We start from the raw sequence: 25,202 nt of genomic DNA on the forward strand, positions 1-25,202 counted from the left end.
GGGAACTCTTATATGCCGCTGGTGGGAATATAAATAGTGCAGCCATCATGGACAGCATTATGGAGGTTCCTCAAAAAATTAAGAATAAAACTACCATATGATTCAACAATCTCACCATTGAGTAAATATACAAAGGAAATTAAATCAGTACATCAAAGAGATATCTGGCACTTTCATGTTTATTGCAGCACTATTCACAGTAACCAAAATATGGAATCAACTTACGTGCCCATCAACAGATGAATAGATTTTTAAAAAAGTGGTATGTACTCAATGAAATAGTATTCAGCCATAAAAAAGAATGAAATCCTGTCATTTGCAACAACATGGATGGACCTAGAATACATTATGTTAAGTGAAATAAGCCAAGCACATAAAGACAAATACCACATGATCTCACTTACATGTGGAATCTAAAAAAATTGATCTCCTAGCAGTGCAGAGTAAAACAGTGGTTCCAGAGGCTGGGGAAGTGAGGGGGAGGGGTGATGGGAAGAGATTTGTGAACAGGTGCAAAGGCACAGTTAGATGGAAGGAATAAGTTCTTGTGTTCTATTGCACGGTAGGGTGACTATATTTAACAATAATGTATATTTCAAAATAGCTCAAAGATAATATTTTGAATGTTCTCACCACAAATAAATGATAAATGTTTGAGGTGATGTACATGCTAATTACTCTGAATTGATCATTATATAATGTATACATATATCAAAACATCACACTCCACCCCATAAATATCTACAATTTTTATGTGTCAGTTGAAAACAAAATAAAATTTTAAAAAGGAAAGAGGTACAGTTTAGAGGCCATTGTGGTCATCCAGAGTTGGGAAAGCTGCTGCAGCTTCAAATGACCTCAACACTTGTATCTGCCACCTACTAAGATGAAAAGAGCACTGGGATAGTTCTATGTGAAGACTGGTATGATTTTCAGACCTGTTGTGCACTGGTTCTGGGGCACTGGGGGAGTGATTTTGCCCCTTTGTAACTATCTTGCTTGACTGCTTAATGGAATTCGTATATCCTGGTCTACCTACTTATGATTTTAAATCACACAATCTCATAAATGGAAAAGTGTAAAAGGAAGCAACTGGTCCCTAACCCCATGTGAACCTTGACCCCTTCTCTGTCCTCCTTAGAGTTGCATTCCCAGCACTTGGTGTCCTGGGGGACCAAGAGTCACCACCAAGTATATCTCTGTAAATGGTTCACTACTTGAACACCTTCAGAAATGGAGAAACACTCTCACTCTCAGGATAGCCATCTCAATGTTGCACACCCTACCTATCAAAAATATCTTCCTCATATTTAAGTAGTATTTGTTTTCCTGAAACTTCTACAAAGTTCTCCTAAATCAGGTCACATAGTACAAGCCTCATGCCAACTCTTCAGTGAACATGTCTCTTCAAGTCTCTTCATCAGGTTAAATGTTCCTTGTTCCTGCAACTGCTCCTCATGCGACATAGCTTTGCTCCGCTCTCCTGGTCTCATCCATTCCAACAAGTGTTCCTCTCTTTTATTTTCCCCTCCGTGTGAAACGCCTAGGAGCATTCTTTTCCACATAGCAAGCAATGACATATATTTGTTGGATTTCTTGGAGTAAACCCTGTCTGCCTAGAGTGAAAAGGGATCTCCAAGAAATCAAGGTAAAGTGAAGTGTCAAGGGATGTAGGAATAACACATATAAGGTCAACACAGATAAGGGTTTTGCAAGCAGTGTGGAACAACAGAGCAGCCAACAGGCCCGCGTACTGCTGTCCCGAGGCACAGTAGACTCTTGGGTTTCTTGGTAAAACTCATGGGTTGCATTGGTGATTTCTCTGATTGTTAAATATAGGGTTTCAATTAAACACTGTCACCTATTGAAGGCTCTGAGCTTGAGGCTGTCAGAGCACTTGTCAGAACGGGCTTAAAGGTACAGGGGCTCCAGAATAACACTTCCTTGATAAATTGAACAGGATGGAAAGAGAAATGAAATGCAAATAACTTTACCACCATAGGATTCATTATGATATGATGCCCTAACTGCTTACCACATAAAATCACCACAAGTCACATGCAAATCATCTTGTAATATCTTGGGAAGCCCTGGACTTGGAAGTATCCTATCAGATCAGAGAGATAACAGTGGAACTCTCGGCTGGTTATGTTTCTCTTCATTGTTTGGGAGATAAGAGAGGGGAATAGCAATCTGAAAAGTTCAAAGATAAATTTCTCACCTCATAATTGATTATCATATTTGCCTTTTTTTATCTTTTTTATTTCAACCAAATTATCTTCCTTGGGTGAGTGGGGGAAAGAATTGTGTCTGCACACAATGGTGGCATTCCCCACAATGGTTGGACTATGACTATTCTGATTCTATTTCCAATGTATTCTTCCTTCCTTTCCTTCTAGTCCACTATTTTGGTGGCCTTTGCCAGCCAGGAGAGCAATAATAAGGCAGTCTGAAAACATGTCTAAACCAATCAAATGTTTGCATCATGTGTATAAATGCATTTGCATTCATACATGTTTGCACAAAACATTTGCTGTGTATGTAATTGCTTATACATATTTGTGATTTTTGTGGGCAAGTGTTGACATATCTGTGTCTTTGTCATCATGTGTCTTGCTGTTATATATGTGTAAAAGGGAGTGTGAATACGTGCATGTGGGCTTTATCACCCCTGAAGGACAGCAACCCCACAGATCCATGTCCGTAATAAGGAACAAAATATGGAGTCTCTCTAACAACATTTGAATTCTCACATCTTGCTGACAGATGAGAAGGGTGCAATAGGGCCTGACCGCTCTGCTGCCAAGCCCCGGACCCGTGCTCAGTCCCTCCCCAGAGCTTTCCACAGTTGATGTCCATGCTGCTGATGCCTCTTCCCTTTGGCCTGCAGGTCCCTGTCTGGTCGCATCGTTGGTGGCGTCTGGTGGTTCTTCACCTTAATCATCATCTCCTCATATACAGCCAATCTGGCCGCCTTCCTGACCGTGGAGAGGATGGTGTCTCCCATTGAGAGTGCAGAGGACCTAGCGAAGCAGACAGAAATTGCCTACGGGACGCTGGAAGCAGGATCTACTAAGGAGTTCTTCAGGGTAGGGACATCCTTTGTCCCAAGACACTTTCACAAAAGGGAACCACAACTGTCATTAAAATGTCCTTCTCATTATATAGCCTGAGATAACAGGCAGCCAGAGCAAGTGCTTAACTGACTGTAAGTCAGGGAAACTCAGGACATTTCTAAGCTTTCTACCACCCCCCTGAGAAATCTACATTTCTACATTTGTAGAAGCTTCAAAGCTCCTGCATTGATTTGGATCCCTTGCCTGTATCAGTCTGTGCTAATGCTCTGAGGGCTGCAAAAGACATCAAATACAATTTCCTCTCTGTTATCACGGAAACCTTATAGTCTAGTTAGTAATCAATTAGGAACAGCTTACGGACAACAGCTGGACCTGATGCTCTTTGTGTCCCCTCCTATCTCATAGAAGGAGCTCAGTGAATGTTTGTTGACTTGATGAATAAGAGGATAGTATATGGGAAAAAAAAAACTGGAAAAGGTGATCTATTAAATGGTGCCAGGAGAGAGAGAAAATGTGAAGTGGGAGTGGAGGTGGTGAGATGTGTTTTGGCAGAAGACAGTGAGCGGAAGCAAAGGAGCAGAGAGCTTAGGAGCACAGCCTTCAAGTTCAGCAGATGGAGGCCCAGAACCTGGCTCCATCCCTTACTTGTTCTGTACACTTAGCCTCTGTGACACCATTTCCATTCATCCATGTAATGAGGAGAACAATGTCTATATCAGAGCTTAACAAGACTAAAAGAGATAGGGTATCTAAAATTAGAGGCAAAACAAGGAACAATCAGTGGAGGTTCCATATACCATTAGGACTTCAAGGAAATGCAAACCTTTGGGAGTCATTCTGAAGAATGGGTAGAGACTAAAGCCATACAGGGTAGACGTGTAAACATTTATAGATATCACAAAGCCAGGGTAGACCTGTAAACATTTATAGATATCACAAAGCCAGGCCAGACCTGAGTAGGCTAAGTACAACCTAGACAAAAGGAACAACTTGGACAGACACCGAGAAGCAGGAAAACCTGTGGTTTCCCTGGACTTTAGGGATGTTTATCCCAGGAGTTGAAGAAACAGTACATGGAACTACCATCTATGGATCAAATAAGAATAATAAGAAACATTTGCTACCGCCTACATATGAACCAGGTCCTGTGCTAAGCACACCCTACACAAATTATCTCATTTAATCCTCTCATTAAAGATGAGTTAGAGATTGTCCCTATTTTATAGCTCAGAGTTAGGATAGGTCCCCATTTTATAGATCAGAAAATTAAAAGAATCACCTAAGATCACACAGCTAATTAGTAGCAGAAGGAGCAGAGACAGCACGCTGCCATATTGCCTCAGGCAAAAGAGAAGGGATCCTGTACAGACTCACCTAGTTATCTCACTACAACTTCTTGGAGCAAACTCCAGGCCCCGAACAAACCACTGTGGGAGATGCTGCAGGTTCTTGACCATGGGCTTTGTATTCTGTATGACAGACAGGAAAGGGAACAAAGCCTTAAGCATCATTGATCCTAACTCCAAGGCTAAAATCATCAATTTTCAATGTGTCAGAGCAGGAAGGTGCCTTAGAGGTCACCTAGTCAGAGGCTGTCATTTTAGAGAGAGGCATTACTTGCTTAAGCTCACCCAGCCAGTTAATAAAAAAGCCACTTACAATCTCATTACAATTCCCTGACATTTTTAGCCTGCAACAAAAGTGTGAAGAAGGTGCCTGTTTCTACTTGTCCATAAAGCCTGTCCTATGCCCCAACCCCTGCTAATGCAGTTAGGGAACCATCTAATTCACTTAACAATGCTCTCATCCTTATAGCATAGACAACATGCACCAGTCCTCAAAGTACTTTTGCACCTATGGTTTCATTTTTGTTTCACCTGTGACCTCAGGCAGAAGAGGTATTTGTGGCAGCCACTTTGCGGATAAGAAATTAAAACTTGGGAAATTCTTTTGATGCAAGTGTCAGGGGTGGGTACCAAATCTGAGTTTTCTTGTTCCAATCCAAGTATTCCTGTCACTGAACCACATGGTCTTAATGTGGTGGTGTCATTAAACTGACAAACATTTTTAAAAAGATCACTCAGGATGACAGCTGGGCTTGTGGACACATCTAGTCTAACTGTACCATTTTATAGTTGGGAAAACTGAGGCCCAGAGAAGAAAATGGTCATGCCCTACCTAATGAGAGGCACAGCTGGGATTTAAAATTTCAAAAGTCTTTGTTAATCACTACGTCAGTTGACATATTACTGCCTCTTGTCCACAGCACAAAGTTAAGAACCTGGAACCAGGGCAGTGCATATTCTACAAGTTCTGTGCCCAGGCCTACTACATTGGTGACAAATTGGTTGTAGTCCATGTACTTACTTTGACAGGTCAGTAGTGGTTGCCTAGAGATTCTGAGGTCACATCTGGGCTTGATGTGAAAGGATTCTTTGATTGATATCAGTGTCTCTCATGTATACAGGAAGGGAAACTGGTACCAAGAAAGCCAGGTATGAGGCATTCCTACCCTAAAGTAAAACCTGAAAAAAAAGGCATAATTATTAGTAGTCATTGCACTACTTACAGAATGCCTTCTTGTGCCAGGCACTGGGTTATGCCTGTGTTCTCATATAATCTCCACGGCAACACTGTGAAGTGCACAGTATTATTACTATTTTCAGAAGAGGAACACTGAAGCTCAGAAAGGTTATGCTACTTGCCCAACGTCTTTCAGCTAATAAGATATAAAGCCTAAAATGAGGGAGGCAGCTGGTTGCAGTGGAAAGGCACAATGTGTGCAATCAGGAGGTCAGGGACTCTTGGCTCTGCCACTAACAAACTGCATGACATTTGACAGTTTATTGCCACATCATGGGCCTCAGTTTCTTTACCTGTAAAAGGAGAGTACTGCCAAGATATGTCCCATGCATAAGCCTTTCCATCTCTGTGACTCTGACCTTGGATAATTATCCCACCAGGAGTTTGGTGGGTGGGGAGATAAGGTTACCTACCACCCCCACAAGGCAAAAGGAGGGAATAGTGAGACAAGAATTCTTCTACTCCAGTCTCTGAAAAAGCTGGCTTCTTGTCCCCATGACAGCCCAGAACTTCTTGGCAGCCCCAGCCCAGAGATGCTTAATCCTCCATCGACAGTTTAATTAAGATGTATGAAGAGTCATGGGAGCTGCGGATGATAGGAGAGATCCAAGAACAAATACCCTGAGTATGCTTCCAATCTTCCCTGCCACTCATGCTACCTTCACATTCCTGGAGATTAGATTTTCCTGATAGTTCATCCCAAGTGTCTGTGTGCACAGCCTTAACATTTGGGGCACTGGGGTGAGGCTGAGAGGACATATTAATTTTCTGCATACTGTTGCCCAGAAGGCTCCTCAGCTCTGCCTGTCAACAGCCCAGTTCCCTGCTGTGTCCATACTGTCAGGTCAAATTGCATCTTGCAATTGCCCTGCTGTGTGTTTTGTTGATTTGTGCCTGGAAGATTATCTGCAAATCTGGTCACAGCTGAATTTATACATTTTCCTGTTTCCTGTGAGAGAATATTAAATACATTGGCAGACCTTATGATTAGTTCTGGGTATTTCCTCCCCTAACCTTGGAATCCTCCCTCCCTTTTCTCCCTTCTTTCTTCTTCTTTCTCACATTGACATTGTTGCTTGAATGACGTATCTTCAGGTAAAGAATCAGATACTTCCAGCTAGCCAGGGACTTAAAGATTATAATGCCCAAACTCCCTATGGAATGGATGGGGAAACTAAGGCCCAAAGAGAAGGGACTCTCCATAAACAAACCCATGAGTGAGAAGTAGAACTAAGACTGATATCCAGGGCTCCTCACAGCCAGTCCAGTGTCCTTTCTAGATTGTAAACCGGACTGTAAAACGAGTGATATAGTTTATCTAATTATAGGCTATTAAAACTGAAGTTTTAATAGCAACTATTTCCATTACTTTTCCCTCAAGATCTATGATTTTCCTGGGCCCCGAATGTCTTTATTGATCAGCTGACTCAAATGACAATTGTAGATCAATATCTTACCAACAGTTGACGTGCGCTAATATCAAGGAAATAAACCTGATACTTGTATACAGAAAAAAGTGATATGCTGCATGTATAATGATAATTTTATATTAAATAAATCTGAAATCTATATATTAACAACTGAATTATATAGAATATATGACTCTAGCAACAACTATTTTTAAAAAGTAGTCCGTTACATGTATTTAACACTTGTCCATTTAGAAAACATTTGTAATAGCCAGACTGTAGTATCCCTAAAATACATCTACCCTTTGGGAAAAGGTCACCGTTTAGAAACAGTATGCTAGATGAGAAGTTTGATCATGGTCCTGGATCATGGGCCCTGACTAAGGGCCTACCATGTGCAAGGTACTCAGTTAGACCCTGTGACGGACCCACAGGAGGGAAGACATTCCCTCAGGTAGCTTCCACATACTTGAGACCTACATACAAGGAGAGATGACTTGCAATCTTTGCAGTCTAGCCTGGCCATCCAGTGAGTGCCCCAGGCAGTGTGTCCCATAAGAGTATCAGCCCTCACAATACTGTTTCTCAAAGTGAGGACCATACAGGCCATACAGATCAGAATCATCTCTTGGGGACAATTCCTAAAAAAGATGTATTCTAGGTCCCACCTCAGAATTGCTGAATCAGAATCTCTAGATTTAGAGCTAGGGAATATGCATTTTTACAATCGATGTACATGATAATGGTGCCTACTAGAGTCTAAAAACCATTGCCTTTGGAACTGAGGTGGACTCCAAATACATAGGATTTATTCTGTTCTATGAAACAAGGATTTGGTTAGACAGAACCAGCATCTCAAGTGGAAAAAACAGTGCAAGCAAAGTCCTGAAGGGGAGAAGGCCCAAGGTGAGTTTAGGGGGAAATACGGAAGGCAGGTGGGCCATATTTGGAAGGTTTTTAAATGTAAGCAGATGACAATATTTGGTCCCAAGTTATCAGCTTTATTAGACAACAATATATTTGATTGGTGCAAAAGTAATTGAGGTTTTTTGCCATCAAAAGTAATGGCAAAAAACCTCAATTACTTTTGCATCAACCTAATACATTCTGAGGACAGGTCTACCCATGATCCAGAAATTCTTCAGTGCTTTCTTCCAATAATGAAATCAGATTCCACTGATATTCAGCTTTCTATTTCTTCTGGTTAGTATAAATATGGCCTTATTGAACAATAGATAGGTCCTTTAATGTATTTAAAAGTCAGGCAGGGCCCCAGTTTCTTAATTCTCCCCTTGTTTAGGAGGAATATAATTACTCAGAAGTAATTAAAAGATCTGAGCTATTCTGTTCATTCTGAATTTGCAAGATATTTGTACTTTGGAACCTACTGGTACTAATTAGAGCCTCTTATTTTGCAATCACTCATAATTTGTTTCTTCCTGAGCTAATCTCGCTCATGAATGTGTGATCAAGCTACACTCAGCTCTTCATTAATGTGTGCACCGACCCCAATTCCAAGCGCACTTAATTCCAGCTTTGTTTCTGTCCCTACCAGAGGTCTAAAATTGCTGTGTTTGAGAAGATGTGGACATACATGAAGTCAGCAGAGCCATCAGTTTTTGTGCGGACCACAGAGGAGGGGATGATTCGAGTGAGGAAATCCAAAGGCAAATATGCCTACCTCCTGGAGTCCACCATGAATGAGTACATTGAGCAGCGGAAACCCTGTGACACCATGAAGGTGGGAGGTAACTTGGATTCCAAAGGCTATGGCATTGCAACACCCAAGGGGTCTGCCCTGAGGTAAGTAGCCAAGATTTGCTTCCTTGGTACTCCCTCTCCCCTCCCTATCTCAGGAATGAAGCTTCTGTGTCTGCTACAAGCCTCCAATGCCACAATGCAAGCTGTTGAGGGGGCTCTTCTTCAACACCTATGGGCCTGAAAGATTCCAGCCACCCAAGATCTTCAGCCCTGAGGTTGGAAACTGACCTGGGGGCCTCAGCTTGCTGTGACTGTCACTGCCCATGTGTTCTTCCCCATGCCTCACCTTCCTCCTCCAAGTGCGTGAAACATCAATGAACCTTGTGCTTTTGTCGTGTGATCTGTAACACCCCATCCTTTACCAGACACCCCTGCATCCAACAACGCTATGAACAGAGTTCTCCAGCAACCTGAATTCTTTGACAGAAGGTGGTTTATAATGTTTGTCTCAAAAGAAACATAAACATGTTGTCCAAATGAAAAATCAAATCTTTCGAGTCCTGAGACTCTGGCTGTGGAAATCGAAATAGCATCTAATGAATAGCACCAAATTAATTATAGCACCTATTCTTACCTAGAGACTGATTTATTTAGCAAGATATAGACAGTTTGGTAAAGAAGCAGAGTGGACTTTACTTTCACGAAAAGAAATCCTGATATTCATTCTCAACAGCTGAGGAAGAGTCCTGTAGACATGGAGTCACAATACCTAGATTTAATTCTGACTGTCTTACAAAAGGTAAAACATATCATCTTCCAGCCCTTAGTTTCCTCATCTGTAGAGGGAGGATAATTGGCCCAGCCCTTCCTAGGTCTGAAGTGGTTGTGAGTTCAAATGGTATAATTTATGTTGAAGGTCACTGAAAACAGTACACTGTGAAGTCACCTATGAGACATTATGTCAATTACAGAAGGATTAAATCATTTGGGGGAAGAGTTGCATTTCAGGAAGGGTAAGAAGGATTAATAAAGTTTGCAAAATGATGGAGAGGGATTCCTAACCCATCTGGATATGACATCTGGGTCTACCTCTGCCTCCACTTTATTCATTTATCTTAATAATACTAAGCCCCAACATTGTTCTGGGGACTGGGCTAGTAGCTGGAGCTACAATTTTGAACAAGATAGACATAGTCCCTGTCCTCATGCCACTACATTCTTGCAGGAGAGACAGACATTAAAGAAATAATTAACATTTAATGACAATTCTAATAGATACTAGGACAGTCTATAAAAGGGGACCTAGAGAACATCTACTTCCTGCAATGTAGCAGAACAAAATTCTCACTATGAAACAACGAGATATGCTGGATAAGATATAACAAATAGCCTTTTAAGTGCAAGTTAAGAAATTCCTAGGATCAAAAAGAAAAAACAAATCAAAACTAGAACTAAAAGCGTAAGCTTATTATTCTGGGACTACGCTAAGCAAGGCAAAGTTATAAATTATGTGACAATCTACATGAGCAACAATTAACAGTACAACTAAAAACATAAGGTAATCAAAAACATCAGAGGTGGGGGAGGGGGGAATCAAAGGACATTCCCCAGAGTAACACACAGAAAGATGAAAAGAAAATGTAACACAGAGTTTAAGAGACATGAAAAAGAAAAAAATTGAGTCTGCTGTGAGTTCCAGACAGAGACAAGAGAGAATGAAGTGGAGGCAATATTTTAAAGAAATTTTCTGGAATTTATGGAAAGCATAAATCCTCAGATTTGAAAATCAGTCTTAAGCATAATAAATAGATAAAAATCAGCAGCTGATTCAATTGAAAGCAGAACAATAAAGACAAAGAGAAGATCTCAAAGCACCCAGATATAAAAAGGTTCAATTTGGTCTGCAGGATGAGTGGGGTATGGCTGGGAAGACAGGTCCAAAGATGTTTTTTTCAAGCTGCAGTTTGACAGATTAATAGGAGTTAACTAAGTGAAGTGAGGAGAAGGGAAGAAAAGAGTAGTTGAGGCAGAATAAATAGCATGTGCAAAGATTCTAAGGCAAGAAATCATTGCACAGTCGATTAACCAAAAGCCACTAAGTGTTCTTGGAACACAGGTAATAATACAGAGGAGAAATGTTTAAGCTGAGATTGGAGGATGAGGTGGGGAAGAATTTTATAAAGAACTTTTGTCTTTATTCAAAGAGGAATGAAAATACTTTGAAGAACTTTAAGTAATTATCGGAAAATTGAGAGAATAAAGATACCTGGAGAAGTGTAGACATAATTGAATATGAACTAATGAAGACAAATCAAATGGCCTGGTATTTATCAGTCATGTGTTTTTGCCTGGTTGAATCTAAAAGACTCTTTACAAGTTTGAGCAAAGTTCAAAGGGGATTCAGATGATAGTGTTTGGCAACGAAGAGGCTTTTATCTCAGAAACTTATTGATCATCAGCCTAGAAAGACTCAAAGTAGAGAGTGAGTTTTTATAGTTCCAGGAACATCAGTGATACCTCAATATTACAATTTACTGAAGGTTTCGTGAGTCAAGGACATCCACATAAATACATGGATGTGAAGTTAAGAAAACAAAGCACAGACACATAACATAATTTGTCCAATCAATAGAGTACCTCTGTCATCCCATCCCACACATAGTTTCCTGGAACAAGGTAACAACTCAGGAAATACTGTATATTTCCTGATACTGGAAATACTGGAGTGACATGAACCTAAAACTCAGGCCATTTGGCACTCAAATGACTTTCCACTATAATAAAAACCATCATTGAGTCAGTGCCTATTAAGTGCCACTCACCGTGGTACATGCATTATCTCTTATAACCCTTGCAACATGACTATGAAGTACCATTATTTCCATTTTACAGATGAGGAAACAGAGTAAGAGTTAAGTTGCCTGATCAGGTTGACACAGCTAATAAGGTAGAAGCCAGATTTCAAGCCCTGGCAGTCTGACTTCAGAGCCTATGGCTGTAACTCACTCTAATGCTGCACTGGGCTTTATGAATGACAGCACCATTAAAGGCAGGGGACTGGACTTGGGCCAGGTCCTTTGCACCTATTCACATGAGCCAAATAACCACCAACTTGGGAATTAAAACCAGACCTTTGAAGTCCAGAGCAACCACTCACCACTCTGAAGGCAAAAGGTGATAATGGACACTGACTTTAACACACCCAGCACCATTCCTTTGAGGAGTAACCCTGCTTTTATGGATTTGCTTGCTGAAAGACACTTTCTAGAACAAACAATGAAAATAATTCTGCTTCATAATAAAAAACTAATTCTTTTGCATACATCTCTGTAAACACATAACAAGCCATTTATTGATTTCAAAAAAGAGAGCAAAAGAAAAGGAGAGAGAAATGAAAAAGCAACATGTTTCAAATACAGATCACTGACGACTGAACTGCAAGTCAAGAACACCCAAATGATGGTCATATGCTCCTGTCTTCCTACAGCGCTCCTTTCTCTCCAGTGCAAACCTGATGGTAGTCATGGGGCCATCATAATTCCTGATTCAAAAACAAAAGAGTAACGCTCGTCTTAAAAGGGCCTCAGGTGTCTGGCCTAGGAAAGTTCCTCTACCCTTAATGGGATTCTGCTTCTCATCTGTGCATTAAAAGGGAACACTGCTAGCAACCAATAATATAGAGGTTCCACAAAACACACCATTAAAGAATGGTTGCAGAAAATATGAGTAACCACGCCTCTCCTACACCCCAACCCCCCCTCCCCCCACACACACACACACACTCCAGCCAAGTTTCCATTATAACTCTTTTTCACACCCCATATGATGCCATTTGACCCAAGACATGGTCAAACTCCAAAGAGTTATGGCAAACCAAATACCACAAACACATGTGCCTGTTCCAGCAATCCTAGATCCACTGACTTGATCCCAGGAAACCATTCTGCATGACAGAGGTGGACAGTAAGGAGAAGAGTAAAGACATTTGTGCTTCCTTTGGACCCATTGAAGAGGGGCTGATATATGCTTAAAGATAACCTGGCAGAAGAAGTCCAATTTTGTTCAAATTATTTTGAATCATAAAAAATACTTTTTTAAAGGACTGTTTAACTACTCACAAGGCTGCAAACTCTTTGGAAGTGTTTACACTACAAAAAAAGTGCTTGAGTTTGTTCCAGGTATTATTATAAACTTCTCTTCAGCCCTATCAAAGGTAGGGTTTTTGCAGCTTTCACAGGCAGATGTCCTCCAGGCTTACTGCCTGTAGTTGTATCAAGAGAGGACCTTTCTGGCTGTCCTCCTCCACTACTTGCTCTCCATAAAGCCAGACTTCACTGTGCCTGTGGGGCATTCACTCTCTTACAGCCTGCCTAGAACAAGCTCCAGATTTCTCCAAGACAGATCACCCAGTTATGCTTCAGAAGATCAGATAACTGACATCTAAGGCCCAAATGTTCCTCCAAAACTTGCCAAGTCTACTTGGCAGAAGCCAGGCCATGGTCCCCATAGAGTGTTAAAAAGCTGTGTTAGTGACAGAATGGGGCTTTTGTTTATTTGTTTGTTTCTTCTGCTCTGGAAACAAATACTCTGATGAAGCAAGGTGGTTCAATCCTTGATTTTCCATTTGGACAGGTGGTGTTTCTTTGAAACAGATGCTGTTTGTTGGCTGTCACTGCATGTTTGGGGGTGGGAGAGGGGCTGTTATGTTTCACAAGCCCTCAGGTTGTAGATAAAGACCTATGCAGCCAACGTCACTCACTAGGGAAAGGCAATTGGTAAATCCACTAATTATGATCTATTGGCCCTTTTGGTGCCAACTTAATGTATCTTGCTAGCCTAAACTGAAATGTCTTTTCTTTATTATGATGAATACTTCCTTTGATGTGTTCAAATTTCCTAAGTGAGGGGGCTTAGCCCACGTTTTATCAACCTAAGAAAGAATCCACACCAGATTGGCCTCAGTTAAAATGTCACCTGATGATTCTCTTTCACAAACTACCTACCAGGAGTTTAACGGATTTGCTAAGAGTTAGACCCTAATCAGGACATTGGTCAAAGTCTGGTCTTTAGCTGTGACTGTGGTTACATGGAGTCTTCTTTGGTCTCTGTGATCATGACATGTTTGTCTTCTGTCATGTGTCTTGTTTATGCCAGATGTATGGGCCAAGGGGGCAGGAGTGCAGTACAGCTTCACCCTGCAGCTTACCGGGTAATGGGCACCCAGGAAGGTCTGAGACCCACTCTCTGTGCTTTCCATTTAGCTTCACCGATTGGTTTCCAAATACCTTCTCACACAAAGCACTGTGCATAATGCTGCAGGGAATGGCAGTGAGAGATGCAATCCCAGTGCTTAAATAATGCATCATCAAATACAGCTCATGAGCAGAATTATGTAGATACCTATTATCCTACCAATGCCATAAGAGAGCCAGAAACACTCAAAAAAAAAAAAAAAGGAGGAGAGTCAACGTTTGCGTGGTAGGATTTGCAATGGTGGAAGAATTGTGGAAGAATTGTGATAGATGGGAAGTGGGGAGAGGAGGCTTCATATTAGGGGCTGAAGAGGAAAAGAGAGCAAATGCAGAAACGGAAAAAAAAAAACATGGGGCTTGTTTTCAGGAACAACAAGGGGTCCACTTTAACCAGAGAATTCATTAATAGGTAGGAGTGATTGGCTGCGGTCATATTGTGAAGAATCTCAAATGTCTCTGCATGTTTTACTATGTCAGTAGGAGCCACTGAAAGTCATTTACAGGGAGGGACATGATTGGACAGGCTCCTGGAGATTACCCTGGCGGTGGTTTGCGATACGCATCAGAGAGAGGAGGATCACAGGGAAGGAAGTCATTTAGAAACCTGTTGTGGTCATCTTGGTAGGAGATAATGAATGTGGTCATGAGTTACAACGGGATGCAGACACTTGGGAGAAGTGGTGGGCTCTATGTTCGTCACTAGTCATATCCTTCACTTTAAAGCTGGGAGGTTTGGAAAAGAAGTCTGTTACGTAAGCTTTCTGGGGCTTTTGTGCCCCTGCCTAAGGCTTGACTGGGTACAAACTGATTTTGGCAAGGACAGAAAATGGAAAAATACGGGATTTACCTCCCAAACAGAATAATTGCTGCCACCTCAATTTTACCTCTGAAATGCCTACCTGGTTAAGAAAGGCATCCCTGGAAAGGACACAAGCTTTCCGGCACACCAGCAAGAATGATGAAGGCCGTCGATCACCTTTACTTACTCCCTGCTGCATTGACTATATCTGGCCTTTATCAATTTTTTCATATCACATGAGCTCAGAATTGTTCATCACCATTTTAGCCTCACTGGCATTCCCATTGAGTATATTTTTTTCTCTCTTCACACAACCCTGTGCTGGAAAATATCTAGCAAAAGTTGCTTGTGTATATTGGCATCTGGCTAAAGAAAAGGAGGGTGGTTAAGGCTATGAGTCGGGAAGAGGTATCACCAAGGTTTTGTAGGGAAGGCTGTCACTTTCAGGGACTGAGGGTTTCCTCCTAGTTGCTCATCCCCCATACTGGGACGATAAAACATGCTTGTATCTTCCATGAAGTCCAGTAGGCCTTCCCTGGAATCCTTTTTTTGCCTAATGCTAACCTGAGTGCTACAGAAGGCCATAGAGAGTTCTCTTCTTTTAGAGAATCACATTGACCCAGAAAATAATTGGGAAACAAATAAGCAAGTGCTTTTTTGTGTGGCATTAAGTCGATTGCTCTAAAGAGCCCTTCCCAACTTCGGTGTGTATCAAAATTACCTAGGGAGCTGGTTTAAAATGCCCTTTCCTAGACTCTAATCCTTGAGACTTCTGATTTTGCAGATCCAGGAATGTGCAATTTGAACAAGTCCCCCAGGTGCCTCTGTTCTAAGTAAACAGCAGTCCACTCTGGGAACAAGGGCTAGAAGAGGTCAGGGAGGCGATGTGCTAGTGGTCTGAGGAGGCAGAACATGAGGAGGAGGCCCTGAAGGAATAGGGGGATGAATATGATGGGAGATGACCAGGAATCCTCATGGAATGGTTCACAACCCGAATTCCTGGAGTCAGATCACCTCCACTCAAGTATAAGGCCCGTTACCTTGCCAGAGTTTGACCTCACTGGGTAAGTCACTAGAACTTCATAAACGTCTGTCTTCTTATCTGAAAAATTGGAATAATAATTTTGTGCAGCTGCTTTGATGATCTGATGAAATAGCATGAAGTGCCCATTACAGAGGATACTTATTAGTGTTCATTTTCTACCCCTCTCCTCCTCCCATTAGACCTACTAAAAAGTCACTTTTGAGCCAAAGAACTTATTTTTTTCTTTTTTGTAAAACCAACTGTGTTCATCAGAAATGCATATGAGCCCCACCCTCATCCCCCTCACACACACTGGCTGCATTAGAAATAAAATATCTCTGAGAACAATTTGTGGTCCTCCCCCACAGAGAACATGCTAAAAAATAAAGCCCTAATATTTCTTTTTCTCCCTCCCTCCCACTCTCACAAGTAACAGCCTGTCTTCCCATAGTATAGTACTGGTGCAGAGCCTGCTGCTGCTGATAAATACAGTATGTCCCAGGGAAATGACAGTCCCTTTCAATTAGTCCTTGCCTCCTGATGGGTAGCCAGGGATGCTTGTTGTCATGGTAACCCTATGAACTCTGTGACCCAGGTCGGGCCTGATCAGAGACAAAGCCCTCTGAGTGGAGAGGCTGGATTTATTTGCATCCTCAGAAGAGCTGGAGAGAAAGGAAGAGAAGGAGGAAATGGGGGGATAAAAGGAGAGATAGAAAAAAATGGGAGGGAGGTTGGGAGTGAGGGAGGTTGGGAGGGAGAGACAAAGGAAGGAGGGAGGCAGAGAGACAGAGAGAGAGAGAGAGAGTGTGTGTGTGTGTGTGTGTGTGTGTGTGTGTGTTTCAATAGAGACTGGAGGTTTGCAAAGGAGAGAAGCTTTCTCAGGTCAAGACATGTGGGATGCATTTCAGAGAGTACCAAGAAAGCTTCCTAAGAGACTGGTGCGCTAGTCCGGTGCAAAAGTCCAGACAAAGGAGTGGCAAGCGCTTTATTTAGCATTTTAGGGGTGGTGATAAGACTTGTTGTTAATATTATTGAACACTGACTCATCTCAGGCACTCCTAAGAAGTGATGTGCATTATCCTATTTAATCCTAACAACACCGTGGAGGTAATATTGTTTTCACCTTCATCACATAATTCAACCTGATTCCAGACCTCTTCTCACCCATTAGGCAAGAATGCCCTCTCAAAGATGTAAGGAGGGAAATTATGAGGAAGGGATGATTATTCAGATAATAAAGATTATTTAATCATCACCCCCCACCACACACACACACACACACACACACACACACACACATACACGCACACACACAAATAGCATTGGTCCTGCCCAACCAATATACAAATAAGAAAACAGGTTATACAATATACAAATAAGAAAACAGCAGAAAGCTTTCTTTCTGCTCTATTTGAATTCCCTAGGGAATGCTTGCTTGACTGCACCATTTGTACTTGTGGGGAATAAGGAACCTCTCCAGGATCAGAGCCATATCACAGGTGGATGTCTTACCCTATAACTACATAAAAATGCAAAACTGTGCATCTGATGCATATTAAGGTTCCCCTGCTTGTCCATAACAGATTGAACCAAAAACATCCCTAAAGATTTTTATGCTCCTGAAAATTCTATATGTTTTTTGTTTCTTTCAGCAATGTAAAACAGGTCATTTTAAACCAACTGTGCCATAAGTTTAGAGGGTGGGGTAGGGGAGCCTTACATTCGTTTTATACCAATGATGTGCTGGGCAATGCATTCAGTGCCCTGTGATGGTCATACATTAATCCTTCCCTCATCTTTTGATTTAGATATTATCATTTCCCTTTCATAGTTTAAAAAACTAAGATTCAGAGGGTAATGCTTTACCCAGGTTCTCAAAGTGATTTGTGGAACAGTGCTTAGGTACAAACCCTGACTCTGAAATCCTCATTCTTTCCACAGCCCACCTTTGTGCTAATCAAGACTCGCATCACTGCCTTAAAAGGTGGCATCCTCAAAACGTCCAGGGAAAACATCAGGGGACATGAGATGTCAGATGGCCTCCACAAACCAAGCACTCTGTCTTGAAGCACTAGGCTAGGCTGCAGATCCACGCTGCTTATTTGTTTTGGAGGATTCTGGTGAAATCACAAAGACAAATGGGCAGTAACTCTGGTTAGAGCCCATTTTTTATTTATTTATTTATTTTTGAGATGGAGTTTCACTCTTTTTGCCCAGGCTAGAGTGCAATGGCGCAATCTCAGCTCACTGCAACCTCCGCCTCCTGGAGGTTCACGTGATTCTCCTGCCTCAGCCTCCCGAGTAGCTGGGATTACAGCCGTGCACTACCACACCAAGCTAATTTTGCATTTTTAGTAAAGACGGGATTTCACCATGTTAGCCAGGCTGGTCTCAAACTCCTGACTTCATGATCCATCCGCCTCGGCCTCCCAAAGTGCTGGGATTACAGGCATGAGCCACCATGCCCATCCTAGAGCTCCATTTTATAATGCCTGGTTGAGAAGCTCATAAATGGCAAAGCAACACATTAAAGAGAGAGAGGAGGAAGGTGGTGAAAGCGAGGTGGCAGGGATGTATCTGGGAAGATAAATAAGGGAAATGAATGGCCTTTACCTAGGTGAGAACAGCAGCTCAGTGCAGGCTGTGATTTGCCCACTGAAGCACTGCTCCTCCTGCTGATACACAAATTGCATGTTGCTTTCTTTTAAGAGGCTGTCTTGGTCAAAAATAGCATCTCTTTTTTTCCTCTCTCTCCCTCCCATCAGCAACTTAATTTCAGACTTGCTAGGTCTTTTGCGTTTTCTAGGAAGGCAGCTGCTGTAATACAAAGGAAGACCAGGAAAGAGACGGATTGGATATCTGTCTCAGCTCTGCCACTTGGGGCTTATGGGTTTGGAAAGCAAATGTGTTTTGGTGTTCCTGAGACCTGAATTCAAATTCTGCCTCCCGCATTTACGACCCATGTGATCTTGAGAAAGTAGCAAGCTGCAGTATCACCCTGAAGTCAAGACTGGTATGAATCCCAGGTCTGCTAGTTAATAACAACTGTTTCTTGGACAAGTGACTTCATCTCCTTAAGACTTAGTTTTCACCAAATGTAAAAAACTGGAGGTAACTCTGGCATTTATTTCCATAGTTGTCAAGTGTGATTAGATGAGATAATACAAAGTGTTTAGCACAGTGCCTGGCACATAGTAAAATGACTGACAAGTGTTAATTATCCTTATTTAATGTCTTTGAAGCTTAATTTTCTCATCTTCCAATCGAGATCTTCCTATGAGATTCATAAGATTGTCTTGTGAATACAATGAATCCCTTATGAAGAGTTCATGGTGTATGAGGAGTTCTTGAATATGAATCCATTTTTTTCCCTGTTCTCCTTCCCTTTCGGCCCTCCACACTCACCATCTCTTCTGTTTGTGTGAGTATCTGACCCAAATTAGTGGCAATTACCTTCTCTGGGCTACACCACACTACGATTGTTAACATTGCAATATGGCAGAAATTTCAGAATACCAAATGTTCAGCTAACAGCCACACTGCATTCCTCTATATGCCTGAAGGTAGAAATTTCCAGTGTCTGAGAAGCCCAGTCTCGGAGGGCAGGCAGAAAGGAAGGAATAAGGGGTAGCCCTGAGCTGAACCCATGCTGAGAAATTCCCAGCCATCTGTCCCTGTAACATTTTGTGAATGGTCCCACAGGCTAAGATCATGGCTTAACAATCATATCTAATCAGCCTGTTCCTCAGAGTGAAAGGGGCAAAAGCCCAGGTGAATCCTAACCAAAGGAACCAACTTCCTCTCACACAGTAAACCAGCAGAGTCCCCAAACAAAGAAAATCAGGCAGGGAAATTTGCATATATTATTCATCCTTCCTCAGAACAAACGTCTAGTAAACAAAGAGCACAATGAACTCTTAATCATATTCTTTATTCCCATGGGAATAAAATGTATTCCTTTAGAGGAATAAAAAAAAAAAAATAGTTGCATTAGTCAAGCCAGTCTCCCTGTGGCCCACAAACACAACTTTCCCCCACTCCTGTATCTTCACTTGTATTGCTTCCTTCTGCCCTCCACCCATATTTCCAGGTCAACGAAGCAAAGGCCAACTCTCCCAGAGAATCTAGCAGAGAATTTAGCATGCAGGAAACCCCTGCTGATTGCTTATCACATAGACCAGTTCCTACCCAGCCAACTTCGATGTACATGATGACTTTCTGAGCACATAATCAAATCAGTTGCTGTGCCTGGTCTGTCTGATTCATGGAGAATCAGGAAATACTAGTCCTACTATATAGACCACATAACACAAATTAAACCAACTGACAACTTGTAGGTCTCTTTGGCCATTACTAATAAACATCCTAAAGGCAACAAATGCAAGTACATGACCATGGTCATGCAATTTATTTCTACCAACATTCCAAGTATAGTATTTTCAAAATGCCAAGTCAGTACTCTTAAGGGAAACAAGGATGAATAAACTATGACATTAGCACTTCCAAGATTCATCATCTAGAGCAGGGACCGCAACCTCAAACACCCCAGGGCCAGGTAAAGAAGACGAGTAAAATGGGCCAGGGGTAAAACCTATGTGGTTTTCTCATTTTTAATAGAGTCATGAGTACAGACAATATTTCTCTAAGAAACAAATCCACAGTGCAAACACTATGGTAAATAATAATTATAGTTAATATTTATTGAAGACTTGCTATCTATAGCAAGCAATCTCTAAATTCTCATATGCATTTCCTAATTTATGTAATCCTCACAAGAACCCAATGAAGTAGGTACTATTAATAATCTCATTTTACAGATAATGAATCAGTGGCACAGAGAGACTAATTAACTTGTCAAAGTTCACACAGCGAGTAAGTGGCAGAGCCAGAATTTGAACCCAGATAGTCCAAGTTCAGAGTCTATGCTCTTATCAATCACACAATGCTATAAATGAAAGCTGACACTGAGGATCACAGGAAATGATGAAGACTAGTGAACAGGGCTATGTGTCTTATCTAGACGGGACAGTCTCCACTCATTCCAGTCTAATGTTGACATGTAGGAATGTTGTCACATATTCTCATTTTTCAAAAGAAACTAGAAATCTCAATTTTTATATAAACTATACAACTTTTTTAGTAGTGATCACATTTAAGAGAGAAGGATAAAGAGAAGGCACAACCCACTAACAACTAACGCTAATACAAAGGAGACTGGAAGTACCATAAAAATAAATAGATAAATAAATAAGGCAAAGTGAGGAAAACATGCAGTTAAGAATTAATATCTTGCCCATCCCCAGGGTGAAAGCTCTAGAAAGGCCTCCAGGAGGAGGCAGCATTCCCTGAACAGTTCCTTAACCAGTAGAGAGAACAGCCAGGCGGAAGACGGGGAGGAAGGTATTTCAGGAAAAGCCACCGCAAGCATACCATACAGGAGTGAAGGGAAGGGTGATTCATGCATTCTTTTTCAATCTTTGTTGTTGCTGTTTTCAGCAGGGAATCACTTCCCCAAACAAAACCTCTCATGGAATCCCATTATAAATGAGAGATACAGTGGAGCTGCAAGAGATAAGGGGCTGGAGGTGGTAGTGGAAAGGGAGAGGAAGAAGAGAGAGGGCCAGCAGGGTCAGGCTGGAGGTGGGAGACCTGCAGGAGCAGAGTTTTCTTCTCTTCCTCAGGAGCCATTCTCTGTCACTGAAGGGGAGAATTCTCCAGCATTGTGACCCTGTGTATTTAAAAGTCCACAAGAAAATAACGGACCTGCTGGCCTCCCCTGCATCCTGTTCACGCAGTCCTTAGAATTGGCCCAGCTTTTCTTCCTTTCATTGAACCAGGGGTGGCTGAGATGAGACCAGTGAGCTGGCTCTTGTACTGAATAGTGTTTCCACTCCCTCCATTAATTGCGGGGGGACCTTCATTCATTCCCTCTGTTATCTTTTGTCAAGCATCTCCAAGGTATCTGACACAGACCTGTGTGCCTGCTGCTGCTGACAAATGCTTCTGCATTACAGGACCAGATGTGGTTTACTGTGAGCTGCAAATGAACTGTTGACACCTGCTTCTCACAATGTGGGGTGGGCTAGGCATCACACTTGCCTTAGAAATGCTTGCTGTCTCTAGAATTCCTGTTGGAGGAGCCAGACTTCAGATCCCTATCCAGGTCTCTGGGCTGTATCCACTGATCTTAACCAGGTTTCTTCACAGAACCCTGAAGAAATTTACAGGGCCAGAAATAAATATTTGCACATTTTAAACTGCTGTGCAGTTTTGAGGGGTTCAAGAAACCCCTATGGTTTATCTCAGAAATTAAAAAGTACTCCTTCATTCAACAAACATTTATGAAGCAGCTACTGTGTTAGCTATTGTGCAGTGTGCAGGGTTCCTGCCAATAGAGCTCAGATTAGATGAGTGGAGATGGATAAGGGAATGGTGAGTTTGCTGTGATAAAACATGCAAGTACAGTGGGACCAGAAGGCTCAGTCCATTCTGCCTTGGGTCACTGCAGGAGTATTTGCAGAGAACAACACACATCAGAAGCGTGTAAGATGACTAGGGTTCCACAAAGTGGTGAAGTGTCCTAGGTAGTACATGTGCCAATGCAGAGGTGAGCTTTAGTTATGCTACCTAGTCCAATCCAGCTACCTGAATTTGTCCAGAATTACTCTCAAAGCACTTTCCCATCTGTCACCTCATTTACTCCCAACTCTACAGGCAGCTGGGGCAGGAGCATGCAATTATTCCCATTTTACAAATGGGAAAACTGAGGTACAGTTAGGGTCATCAACCACCCTGGTTTGCTCAGGATTGAGGGGGTTTCCAGGATGTGGAACTTTGGGTGCAAAAACCAAGACTGTCCCAGGAAAACTGGGACAGCTGGTTACCCTAGCTGTAGTTACATGACATGTCACATAATTTGATCAGAGATGAATGAGGTACTCAAATCACGCCTTCAGACTCTTTCCTCCACCCAGCATGGAGTGATTAAGTGAGCACTCTGTATATATCATTTGCTTTAAAAAAAAATTAATTTGTGTCATTTGTACAGTCAGAAACCAAAGACAAAGCCTCTGTCTTCTGCTGACTCACTGCCTGACCAGCATTTCTTCTCATAAGATCGCAGAACTCTCTGTTCCTTGAGTATACTCAAGAGGGGAACACCATCTGGAATGGTCAGGTGTGAAGGGAAATTTGATCCTACCTGTATTCCTTAAGGAACCCGGGGATGTCTGCATTTTAATTGAGGCTCCTGATATAACCCCACTAACTATTTTCTTTTGCTTGGTCACTGGATAGCCTCTCCCAGTTCACTCATCACCCCAACCTCCTGAGTCAGCGGAGTCCTATGGGGTCTGAGTTGTCTGCCCAGTCAGTTTACCTTAAATGGTCCACACAGCCAGTGATGTCATAGACTGAACTAAAGACAGAGGACTTTGAGACCATTGTCCAAAGGAAGCCATTAAGGAGTGCATCTAGGACCCAGGCCCACCAGTACTAGTCCTGCCTAAATTCAGCCATGCTTTTCCTCGGCAGTGGCAGGGTAAATGAGCCTTGGTTCCTACGGAGGCTCTGGTCCCCACTCCCAGCAAAAGAACCCCGGCTTAGCCTTGGAAAAGAGGCAGAAAAAATCCACCCAGAGAAGGTTTCTCTGTCATCCCCTCGAAATGGTTTTTTATCCTCCACAGGCCTATGTGTGAGGGACTGTGGAATATTGCTTAGTTCAGGGAGAAGTGTAAAAAGAGAAAGGAGGAAAAGGTGAACTGGATCTTCTTCACAGAGGGAGAACTGTGCACCCCTGAACCCTCAAGCCCCATGGAAGGAAGAGTTAGAAGGACCATGCTCACTTGTGCACTGACCCTTAATCCAGTGCAAGCAAATTCTCACCCTAAATAGCCCCCATAAATGTGTTTAAACTTTACTCATCAATACCTGCTCTCCCCTCTTAAGGGTAGATGGAGAGTTCCTCGAAGGCCCTTCCCCTAGAATCCTAGTGGTTCCCAAACTGCAGATATCATGTATCAGTAAAATTACAAAAAAATAAAATGGTAAAGTGTGGACACTTGACAATATTTTATATTGCCAGGAAAAGACAAAGGAAACAAAAAAAATTACCGTCTCTTATTAATACCATTTAATAACAGAAGGAATATGTTAACACTAAAAATTAATGAAGGAAACAATTACAAACAAAGGTCTGTCCTTTAAATGGAAAAGTTCCATGTCCTGAAAACTCACTACACAACGCTTATCTTTCCTTCTTTTCCCATTGATGAGTGAAAACTATCACAAACCAGTTCCAGCTCATTGGATGAGCCGTTTGGGAACCACTGATTTAATCCCAGCTTTTTATCTAGCTCGTGAATTTCCTCCATGTTATTCCTGACAAACAGTTGTCCCATGAACAACATCCCAACAAATCATACTTTTCAAGTAGCAATTATCAGAGGGTGCTAATAATTCCAGGTTTGCCGTCATACTAAGCAGCAATCTGTGTCCCTGTGGCTTTGTCTCCCTGATCTAATTCTGCCCTCTGGCATCTCAGAGAATAACGCTAATTCCTCTTCCACTGACAACCAACCTCAAGTTTCCATGTGAGTCCTGCTTGCTTTGAAGTGGCCCACTATCTCCATGATCCCTGGATCCAGGGTTAAAATTTTCAACCTTGTCTCTTCCTCTCATATAAGCCGTTATATTTTTCAGTTAATTGATATACATTTGCTTAGAACTGACTGTATCATTCACTCTGCTGAGTGTAGATGAGCTTCTGGTCTGAGGCCTCTCTCTGCTTAAAAACCTCCTGTATCTCCCTTGCCCATGGGTAAAGTGTTGATGTTCTAGCATAGCACTCAAGGAAGTTCATGATTAGGACTCTGTCAGCTGTTCTAACCTCATCTCCCCGAAGGTCCCCTCATCATGACTACACTCCTCGGGTGGGGACTTTGCCCTTTTCACAGAACACTCCCTAAAGGTTTTCTAACTTCCACCCACTGTCAGAATTCACCTCTCTCCTCTTTTGGTGCTTCCATAACCCTTTATTTTAAAATCTGATACAGTCTTTCATGAACTATTGAGAAATATTTCTGCCTCACATACTAGATTGCATGGTCCTTAAAGGAAGAGGTTTACAATTTGTTCAAGTTGTTATTCCTAGTAAGTACCTACAATGCTTAACACTTGATTGATCTTCATAAATGTTTGAAGTGTTGACCCAAAGACACTAACTCTTTACTCTGAAGGCTTTATAATCAAGTTGAAGACTAAGACCAATACACATCAAATAGTAGTAGACAATGCAGTGAACTGCCTGCTAGATGCCAGGCAAGTTTAAAGGAAAGGTCAATGAGAAATAAAGTGCTC

At 41.9% G+C, this 25,202-nt stretch overlaps 1 protein-coding gene across 14 annotated transcripts in view, besides 1 other annotated feature; it reads left to right on the forward strand.

The window, feature by feature from the left end:
* GRIA1 (glutamate ionotropic receptor AMPA type subunit 1) overlaps positions 1-25,202 on the forward strand; it is a 324,255-nt gene that overhangs the window by 271,929 nt on the left and 27,124 nt on the right. For all 14 annotated transcript variants that reach the window (NR_157093.2, NR_047578.2, XM_047417128.1 and 11 more), the window contains 2 exons: positions 2,891-3,089; positions 8,625-8,872. Coding sequence is in view for 12 of the 14 variants with exons in the window: in XM_047417128.1 (XP_047273084.1) it covers positions 2,891-3,089; positions 8,625-8,872 (447 nt within the window). In the remaining 2 variants the exon portion in view is untranslated. The remainder of the gene's footprint in view (positions 1-2,890; positions 3,090-8,624; positions 8,873-25,202) is intronic.
* Positions 21,064-21,612: an enhancer, noted in NCBI's record as "NANOG-H3K27ac hESC enhancer chr5:153162167-153162715 (GRCh37/hg19 assembly coordinates)". NCBI's record gives its function as "activates a minimal SCP1, AML or CMV promoter by ChIP-STARR-seq in primed H9 embryonic stem cells {active_cell/tissue: H9 hESC(primed)}" and the evidence as "EXISTENCE:reporter gene assay evidence [ECO:0000049][PMID:30033119]".

Source organism: Homo sapiens, chromosome 5 (genome assembly GCF_000001405.40).
Source record: "Homo sapiens chromosome 5, GRCh38.p14 Primary Assembly".
NCBI classification, from domain to species: Eukaryota; Metazoa; Chordata; class Mammalia; order Primates; family Hominidae; genus Homo; species Homo sapiens.